This window comes from Homo sapiens, chromosome X, assembly GCF_000001405.40.
Source record: "Homo sapiens chromosome X, GRCh38.p14 Primary Assembly".
Taxonomy (NCBI): Eukaryota; Metazoa; Chordata; class Mammalia; order Primates; family Hominidae; genus Homo; species Homo sapiens.
The window spans coordinates 42,945,418-42,956,313 of NC_000023.11; the positions used below are offsets into that span (position 1 = coordinate 42,945,418).

At 37.3% G+C, this 10,896-nt stretch overlaps 1 annotated feature.

The window, feature by feature from the left end:
• Positions 3,077 to 3,992: an enhancer, noted in NCBI's record as "OCT4-NANOG hESC enhancer chrX:42807743-42808658 (GRCh37/hg19 assembly coordinates)". NCBI's record gives its function as "activates a minimal SCP1, AML or CMV promoter by ChIP-STARR-seq in naive H9 embryonic stem cells {active_cell/tissue: H9 hESC(naive)}" and the evidence as "EXISTENCE:reporter gene assay evidence [ECO:0000049][PMID:30033119]".

Consider the following 10,896-nt stretch of genomic DNA (forward strand, 5'->3'; position numbering starts at 1 on the left):
CTAGGATAGTCAACATTTTAAATGCACCACAGAGACATTTATCTCAGCAATTCAGCAAAGCAGCATCAACTCTTGAGCCAGAATAAAAGCTTTCAGCTTCTCTTTTGAGAAGATTCTGAGCATTTACTTCATTTATAGTAAGGCTCTCTCAAATTTTTCTCTAAGATTTCCCAGAACCTTTCTGAGGCTTCATGCAATTTATATAAGTCACTTAACAAGCACTTGTTGAGCTGTTACCATGTGTCTGGCACTCTTCTAGGTGCTCTCTATAGACAAAGAATAAAATAGACAATCTATTCTCAAGAAACAAGCCTTCAGTGAATCAATAAACAAATATATATACACACATATAGTTGTGACAAGTGTTAGGAGGAAAAATATGACTGGGCAAAAGGATGGAGAGTTATACAGAGGAATGCTCATGCCTTTTTATATCAAGTATTCAGGTCTTTATACTTTATATCAAGTATTTACTTCAAGATACTTTATATCAAGTATTCAAAGTCCACTAAAGATTATCTGTAAGTAGAGATTTGAATCAAATGACGAAGTAAGTGAGTGAGGATTTCTAGAGGGGAAATCCTAGCATTCTAGGAGAGGGAATCATAAATGCAAAGGCCCAGAAGATGGGAGCTGTTAGCATGTTAGAGGTCCAGCAAGGAGTACCTGGAGTAGAAGGAGCCAGGGAAAGAGAGTTGGGAGGTGAAGTCAAGAGAGATCCAGGGGCCAGACTCAGAGACCATGGTTAAGATTTTCTTCTGAGAGACAAGAGAAGCCACTGGAGGATTTTGAGCAGAGTGGCAAGATGTGAGTTTTGTTTTTAAAGGATCTTTCTGTTTGCTTTCTGGCAAGTTGACATTAAGGGGACAATGGTGGAAACAGGGAGACCAGTGAGGAGGCTATTGCAATAATTCACTATACTAGGGTGGTAGTGATGAAATAAGGTGGGATAGTCAGATTCTGGAATTCTGGGTATATTTTAAAATAGAGATTATGGGATTTGCTTATAGATGCTATGTGGGATGTAAGAGAAAGGGGTCAAATAAATGTAATTATGTTTAAAAACTTCGTATTTAACTTCTCTCTTCCTTTTCTTCAACAGAGTTATCATTTCTCTCTCTCCAAACACTCAGCACCCTACCACTTGCCTCTAGCTGTCTAAAACTCTTACCATTCCCCCTACCCCTATAATGAGACATCCAACCCAACTCTACAACTTCTATTTGTCTATTTTTGCTATAAAAATCCTCCCTTTCTGCCTGTTCCTTATTCAATGCTCACCCCATCACTCCATTCAAAGCCTTTATGCTCTGAGACTAACTTTTTTCGCTCACATCTTAAACAGAAAGTATCTGATGTGAGTAATTCAGATTCGGGTAGAAATGACTAATAATTTAAATTAAAATAGTTTACTTTTCAGGGAGGTATTTTAAAAAGCTTTGAAATCACCCAAAGAAGCCCTTTTCTTGTAAACACGCCTAAGTTCTATGATCACCTACAAATTACACTTACCCTTTTCTTGTGGTAAACACTCCATGAGTTCTATGATCACCTGCAAATTACACTTAGTTGCTGACTGCCCCCCATCCATGCAGGCCTTATGCTGACATTATCGAGGCTCACGCTTTATCGGAAAAGGAAACTACAGGAAATGAATCATGAATCATTATTTTTAAAGAGCAACTCCATCACAGCTTGCTTATCATTATTAATAAATGAAGAAAAGAGCTAAACATGTGAACTTACATCACAAGAAGAAAGATTGAAGTCTCTTAACATACCCGGACAGACTTGTCATAAACTATTGCCTGCTCTGTGGACCCAGCAGACTTTGTCCCAGGCCATTGAATGTTCTGAGCCCATTGAATTCCCCTAAGAATCATTTACTACTCCCCCTAAAATCATCCATGTTTCCCTATCTCCCTTTCCACTAAGAAGAAGGGTAAATAAGCATCTCTACCCAATTGTGTGGTGGGGTAATCTCTCTGTGATTTTTCCCTTCGTGCACATGAATACATTTGTATGCCTTTTCTCTTACTAATCTGCCTTTTCAGTGGGGCTTCAGAAGGTGAATGGGAAGTTTTCCCTTGGTCCCTACAAGGTCTTAGTTACCTGGCCAAACCTAGCAGCAAAAGTTGGGAAATTTTTAGCCAACTTTAGAGAAGAAATGCTAAGTGAATATTATTTTGTTATCAAGGTAGCCCTGATGAAGTAGCTGGGAAAGTTCTTTTACTTACTGTTTTTCTTCAGCCCTTATTTATAGGTACAGCCACTTAAAAAAAACAGATGAGCCCCATGATGGAGTCAGAGCTTCCTGACCCCTGACCAGATACCAGAGGGAGATAAGACCCTGAAACCAACCCAAACTGGAAGAGATAACCCCAGTGGCCTTTAGATCATTAACATATCATCATAATGCTAAAATTCCCACTACAGAAAGAAAATTTCTGCCATTTTATGTACATGGGTTGTACGAAGATGTGTGTTTATGAGTTAAGTCTGCACATGTGTAGTCCCACCCTACACATGCTAACCTTCCTTCTTGCTCCTTGGACCCAGCCCTTAAAAACTCCATGTCTTCTATTGGTCGGGGAGAAAGGGTCTTTAGAGTGTAAGCTTACTCCTTCTTCATTTCTGGAAAGAAATAAAACCTGCTTGCCTTTTGTTCCAATTGGGTGTTCTTTCTCTGTGACCAATACAAAGTAGGGAAAAAAACTCAATTTGCCAGTGACAATACGAGCAACTAGCAATTTGAGCAAGTATAGCCAGCTTATTTTCCCTGTACCATTCCATTTGAGATAATGTGCGCTTCTAAGGATATATGCTTTTATTGTCATGATGGAACTGAAGTGGATGAAAGTGCCTCTAGCTGCTCTGTATCTAGTTATTCAGTGGATCCCCAAATCCGGTTATAAAACCTATAAGATTTTATTTGTTCATATTTCCCAAATGAAAAAAAGATTTAGTTTTATTTTCTTTTTGTCTCCTCAAACAAACAAACAAAAGCTAAGCTAGATTTGACACAAAAGTATCTAGGTTCTTCTCCCCATCGCACCCCCAACCCCCAAGAAACTTACGCTGAAAAGAGAGAATAATAGAGATTAAATGTCAGCTGTGTCAATCTATAATTCAAAGTGATAAAATGAAAAGAGACCCCCAATATCACCCTGGCTCAGGTGATATAGCAGGGTAAGTGGCAAACCCTTATCTAGGCATCTATTCCAAGACAGGCTACTGTGAGGTGATTTCAAAATTGCTGGCTCTAAACAGAGACAAAGATCTTAGGGGCTTTGTTCACATGTTTTACCTCTTTCTTCATTTATTAATAATGATAAGCAAGCTGTGATGGAGTTGCTCTTTAAAAATAATGATTCATGATTCATTTCCTGTAGTTTCCTTTTCTGATAAAGCGTGAGCCTCGATAATGTCAGCATAAGGCCTGCGTGGATGGGGGGCAGTCGGCAACTAAGTGTAATTTGCAGGTGATCATCACTACTTAGAAGTGTTTACCACAAGAAAAGGGCTCATTTGGGTGATTTCAAAGCTTTTTAAAATACCCCCCTGGAAGAGACCAGAGGTAATTGTTTTCTTCTTTGATGGGTCTAGACTTTGGGCAGATAAGAGAATTTCAGAGAAGAACTTCATCCAGTGCTTTGAGAGAGACAATGAATTGAGAGAAAAGAGTGGGGGAGGTCAGAGAAATCTTGACGCTTCTTATTCAGTTCAGCATGTCGAAGTGTCACATTTTGGGAGTATTAGTTTTTGCGACCCAGCATTCCCCTGTCTGAAACTTACCAAGAAGTTTCACACCTAGAGTTTGTGGCTATGGAGAAAAAATTGAGCCAGTAGCTGAATGGCAAAGGATCCCACCAAACCAGTCTCTCATTTTTGGGACTAGGCCAGTTCAACTAAACAGCTGTGCCTCATTTTAGAAGACGGTGTTGCAGATGGCTCTCAAAGCTAGGCCACTATATTATGTAGGAAAACAGATCTTTAATAAGAGGCATCTCTATGGAAATAGAAGGGAAAGAAAGCCAATGTCTGAAGCAGTCTGCAAGCTAGTCCTTCTAAAGTTTGGAGGGCAGCCAGTTGAGAAGACCAGTGGCAACCTGACAGATTTTCCTAGATTGTAATTTGCGTGTAAAGTGTGTCCAAATATGAGCTATTGCAATGATTTTTCTCCACAGCCAATTTGACTAGCCTCAGCTTGCAGGGCTTCAGGAAAAAGGCATTTTTAATTTCAGTAAGTCCAAGTCAGAAAAAAAATGAAAGGAAAATTTGGAAAGATTACTTTGAAGACTTGTCACCAGGAAACAATTCAAGATTCAGCCCAAATTGCAAGCAGATAATAAAAACTCAAAAACAATGAACAAGGCAAGAATCTAAGAACAGATGTACTATGGTTTTCTTCTGAAACATAATTTTTTCCCTCCAGTACTCCATTTTTCTAAAGATAAAACACGGTAGAACGAATCTATTTGCAAAATAAGCTTTAGTCTTATTATACTTGGTTTGATTATTTGTATAAAATACAGCAAGAATAGTGATTGGCTATACAGGCTCTTTTAAAGTTAGCTTTGGTGGGACTTTTTCGTAAGAAATCTCAGATTTGACTTTTAAAATCCAGTCAAGGACAAGAAACCAAGGCAAGGATTTGCCATCAGGCTGTACCTATAATACCTGTACAAATTGGGAAAATCCTTCTATTCCTAAGGTCCCCAGAATATCTTGAGTTTCCTGGGCCTGTGAGAGAGTAACATTCTTTACTTTCCACAAGGTTAGGAACCTTATAAAATAACTGCATAGACAAGGTAACAGGCCAGTCTTTATCCAAGTCTATTGGCTTAGTAAAGTCAATCCCAATCATTTCAAGCAGTTTGATCACAGATGAAAACATGCTATTCTAGTCAAAGCCTTGGTAAAATAATCAGTATCTCCAATTGTGTCCTGTTACCAAAGAAAACAGATTCTTGTTAAACTTATGCAAATAACTATTTTGCCATAAAATAAGAATTCTCATGAATAGTTTCTGAATTCTGGAGAAATCAGGGTAGAGAGAAAGGTATGGGTTTACATTTTTCTTACCAAAGTATACTTAACCCAATTGCTGTAAGCTATAAATAACTTAAAAAAATATTTTCTTAACTCTGGAAAATAAAACATACAAATAATAAGTAATGTTTCAAACAAAAAGATTATTAAAAAATCTTTTCAGTCCTCTATCGGTTCGGTTCCATGTAATTAATTTTTATTTAGCTTGATGTTGGCTTAGTAATCTTCATAAACCCATCAGTTTTCTTTTTTTAATTAGAGTTTTGGAAGGTTTTACCTAGTTCAATAATATAATCTCCAGAATTATCAGAAACCTATATTCAAGAGTACTTGTTAGGGTTCTTTCCATGAATTTCACTGAAGACACAACACTTCAGGATTTGCAAAATGCTTTTAGAAAAAAAAAAAAACAGAAACAACTTACTTCTTATACTAAAACATATCAGATTTTTAGAAATCTCATACAATTTTGAAACACATTTCAATAATATATCTATACAAATATAACCAAAGAATACTAAAGTTTTGTGAACTTGAAAAGTATTTGGGCTAGTTTCTTGGCACTCATTTATTTATAATTCAATTTGGTACAATAAGGACAATATACAAACAGACATCTATACACACGTATGCATAAAAATACAGACACAAATAAAGACCTTAAAGCTTTGATTTTAAAATTTTAGTTATGAAACACGTAAAACTCACTAGTTTAAAAAGACAGTTTAATTAAATTGTGCCTCTGTAAAAGGAACAAGTTAGTTTGTTTGTCCCACACTGCCAAAGCCCTTACTAAGTTTTAGAGAAAACAGGATAGCAAATTTCCATTTCAAAGCACAGAGACAGAATTTATGTTTTTCTTAAGAATGAGCTTGGGTTTGTTAGTTAGAGAAGGTTAAAAATGCCGAGGTGACACAAAATTATAGAAATTTACCACAGTATTTTCTAAGGAGATTGATTGTATTTAGATAGGTAGTTTCTAATTTAGTCTCTGTTTTCTAACTGGACCACTGAGCTTAGGGTGGAGCTCATCAATGAATAATAGGGCTGATGAAGCATTTGCAGTTTTCAGGGCCTAATATTTAAATATGAGAAAAGCAGGTGCAGCTGGAAGGCAGGGCATCTAGATCTCCAGAAATCAATAATTCTGTTTTTACACTGAATCTCAGCTCCCACAAAATCGGGCAATATCACAGGACAAGGCTGCACAAGACTTCCACAATGCATCTTGCTACAAGGATGCTCCAACACCAATCAGCCCTCTCTGTGATAAGTCCACCCCCATAGGAGTCTTATCCCTTGGTGCTGAGTGTTTCCACAGCCTCCAAGTATTCAAACTGTGCCTTTCTTAAATAAACTTGCAAAGAAACAAATAGACTCCTACAGTAATAACCACTCATTGAAACCACTGTTAGCCATCTCAAACACTGTAGCCCTCATCAGTGACACAGAAGCCATACCATATACAAAGGTCAAGTACTTTCTCACAGTACAAAATATCCCCTGGTATCCCACAATGCCAAACAGACCAGGTAATAGCATGCAAAAGAGGGCAGAGCTGTAGACCTAAGAGGAAACTGCCATGACTCCTGGGGTTCCATTTGGAAAACAGGAGAACTCAAAAAAGGAGTCTGTGCCACCTTTTTTCTGTGTTCCTCAAGAGGTCTCAGAGTCACTAGAAGTCCCTTCTAGATCTTTTCATGTGGTATTGAAGGTGGCAAAAAAGAAGGAGGAATAGAAGAAAATGGGAGAACAAGTCTTAGAACAGTCAATTTCAGGAGATTTTAAGCTTCCCAGAAGGCCAATGAACTTTTACATTTTTCTCAGCAAAAATTAGACCAAGAAAGAAAGCAAACAAAGGGACTAAACATATAAATAAAAGAGGGTTTTGATCAACTGAAAACAATTCTCAGAAACAGGATCCAAAAGAGAAAAAGCAGAAAGATGTTTTTAAAAAATTTTATCTTGAATATCAGTTTTTAATTAAGCAGACTTCTGACTATAGAGGTCTTGAAAAAAATATTTCCAAATCTCTTATTATCACATTTTAGCTGGGACAAACAGCCAATATTCCTGGCTTTTGAACTGTTTTTATTTTCTTTCTTTCCTTCTTTCTTTCTTTCTTTCTTTCTTTCTTTCTTTCTTTTCTTTCTTTCTTTTTCTTTCTTTCTTTCTTTCTCTTTCTTTTTTCTCTTTAATCCCCCTTCCCTTCCCTTCCCTTCCCTCCTTCCCCTCCCTCCTCTCCCCTCCCCTCCCCTCCCTTCCCCTCCCTTCCCCTTCCCTTCCCTCTTTTAAACCAAGGATACCTTTGCAAATGACTCACCAAAACCAATAAGCTTTAACCAAGGTTATGACTTAACCAAGAATGTACAAGGTACATCCAAGGAGGTGCAAAGCAATCCTCACAAGTCCAGAACCATCCCAAAGACAGCTCAAAAAAACCAGTTTTGCTAACCACAAATGGGGTACAACTCATATTTTTGTCTGGCCATGTTTTCTGGGGTCTCCACTTCTTAACTGACCCTAAAGCCTTATGTGCCTTCTACAAATGGAGGAAAACAGAAAATCCAAAGCCGTCTATGAAAGGGAAAAAGATCAATAACAAATGGGCACTCCCAAAAGTCAAAAATCACACAAATATCAAAACAAGTTTTCAATAAATGTTTCTTTTCCTCAATTAGAGGACATAGATCTGCAAGAATTGGTTCTCTGACTGAGAATCAAACCTAGGTCATGGTGGTGAACTTGTGGAATTCTAACCACTAGACTACAGGATGGAGTGCACCTTATTGTAAATCCGTCAGGGAGTCCAAAGTAGGTAGTTTTAGTGTACAAAGGATTTTAACTTTGTTTTAGGTCAGATTTTTTTCTCTTTAATTTTCTCAAGAGAATTTTTTTTTTTTTTTTTTTTTTTTTTGAGATAGAGTCTCTCTCTGTCAGCCAGGCTGGAGTGCAGTGACACGATCTTGGCTCACTGCAACCTCTGCCTCCCAGGCTCAAGCAATTCTCCTGCCTCAGCCTCCCAAGTAGCTGGGATTACAGGCGTGTGCCACCACTCCCGGCTAATTTTTGTATTTTTAGTAGAGATGGGGTTTCACCATGTTGGCCAGGCTGGTCTTGAACTCCTGACCTCAGGTGATCCACCTGCCTTGGCCTCCTAAGTGCTGGGATTACAGGCGTGAGTCACCACACCCAGCCATTGTCAAGAGAAGTTCTAAGGCTAGCCATGACACTAGTCATGTGTCTTTTTAAAATTTGATCCTCTCATAGATACAAGGTAATTGTTTAGAATGAGAGATCTCTAAAATCTTTTTTTTTTTAAATTAATCGTCTTTATAAGTTGAAGGATCCATCTTTTGCTCACTGACAATTAGAATTTCCAATCATGTACTTACTTATTCCAGTAGCAATTGAATCCAAAAAGCCTTTTCATGGAAAGCCTAAGAGGTGATTTTCCAAGTTTAGAATAAGTTTTTAGCACATAAGCAAGCGGTGTTCCTGGAGAGGGCATAGAAGAGATATTCTTAATAATTCCAAAAAAACTTATTCCCAGGAAGAGGCTAAGCCAGTGAAAGACTTGTTGCCATAGATACTTAAGGATGGTGTTTGTATGTCCTGTTCCACCAGTATCCCACAAATTTGTGGGGGCCTGCCAGTTCCAGACCCATTAATTCATGACACCAGGCTCTCCTGAGATTGGACTTTCCCAGGACAAACCAGGCAACCACAGTTGAAACAACAAAAACTCCTATGAATGGAGCTTCTTATTTAAGACAAACTCCCCTAAGAGATTGGTACATTCAGAACAAAACATGTGCTGCTTAAAATCTTATGTGCCTCAGCTTTCCAGCCATTTTCATATGTGACTTGAAAATGAGGACTGTGATGGTTATAAGTATTTATTCCTTATTTTGGTGTTTTTATTTAATAATTTAATTTTACATAAAATTTAATAATTTAATATTTTAATTTAATTTTACCTCTGTCATTCCCTTATCATCTAACATGACTTGTTAATAATTAACTTGATATTATATTTAAGTTACAAAATATAAAACAGGGAGTATGAACCAGGAAGAAGAAAATGAACATCACCCAAAGGCACAAAAGGGACTCTACACCCTCTTCTGGGAAAATAATTAGTTTGTTATGTAGGATTATTATATCATTTTTGATGGAAGTAGGTCTTTTGTTATTGTTTTTATTTGGAGATTAAGTGTGGTTCAAGGAAGCTTATTTGAGGTCAAAGTTGCCAAGAATGGACTGTGGTAGCTTTATAATGTGTCAGCTTGGTTAGGTTTAACTACATTTCACAGAATTTATCATTTTATTTCTGGTGAGGTTGAGCCACATGTATACTCTTTATACCAATTGCATTATTTCTCCACTGTTGTAACTCAATCATTAATGTATCTACGGTTGATAGAATAAAGGACCAAAAAATATACTTATTCTAATTCCTAGAATCTATGATACGGTATATTACATGGCAAAGGGAAGTTAAGGTTACAGATAGAATTAAGATTACTAATCAGATGACCTTAAATAGGGAGATTAGGATTATCTGGGTGGGCCCAATGTTATCTCAAGGTCCTGAAAAGTGAAAGTAGGAGACAGTGTCAGAGTGATTTCATGCGAGAAAGAATTGACTAGTCATTGCTGGCTTTGATGAAAGGGGGCTACAGTCAAGAAATAGAAGAGCCTCTAGAAGCTGGAAAAAGCAAGAAAATGGATTCTGCCCTAAAACCTCCAGGAAGGAACATAGCCTTACCTACATCTTGATTTTAGTCCAGTTAGCCTGGTTTCAGACTTCTGACATACAGACCTATAAGAAAATAAATTTTTGTTTTTGTAAGCTGCTAAATTTGTGCAAATTTGTGATGCAGCAATAGTAACCTAATGCAGTAACCTTTTATTGGCCTTCCTCCATTCGGTGCCTTCAACTACTCACTTTCTTACTATTTTTATTGGGTCATTTTCCAAATAAACAACTGTACTTAAATCATTGTCTCAGTTCTGCTTTTAAGAAATTCAAATGAAGACAGTCTTTCTCCACAACAAATTCTACTGGTATGACCAAGGGTATGTAAAAATAGGATATAATCTGTACAGTGATTAGGAGATATGGATAGATATTATTAGTAACAGGCCAAAAAGGCAGCGTGCAAATTGGCTTAGATTGAGGGAAGTGAAAACTATCTCATATTTCAATAAGATTAGTTGCAAGAAAAGGAAGTAAGCAGAACTAGGAAATCTCCACCTCTGAGAAGGAAGGGCTGGTAAAAAAAAAAAAAAAAAAGGGCCTTCGGGACAAAGTAGATGTGATGAAAGTCAAAGCACACTAGAAATCACACCAAAATTCCTCAGAAAAGTCAGCTACATGGAGAATTCACTCTCAGCTTTCTCTTGGTGCAAGCAAAAGAAAGTGAAAATGTCATTATACTGGATTTCTATATATGTGAATCTGACAGAAGCAGTATATTGGGCTCTTACAACATAATCATAAAAATTAAAATGAAATAATTCAAAGAAGAAACAGCTCCTTTTCTATTAAGTTGTCCTCTTACTAGCTGTATTAGAGTCAGGGTTCTCCTGAGAAACAGAACAGAGTGTGTGTGTGTGTGTGTGCATGTGTGTGTGTATGTGTCTTGGGAGAGGGAGGGAGATTTTTAAGGATTTGGCTCTCATGATTGTTGTAGCTTGGTGTCTTAGTTCACTTTGCTAAACAAAAATCCCATAAACCGTGTAGCTTTTAAACAACATAAATTTATTACTCACAGTTCTTTAGTCTGGAAAGTACACAATCAAGGTACCAGCAGATTCAGTGCCTAGAGCAGATCCTTT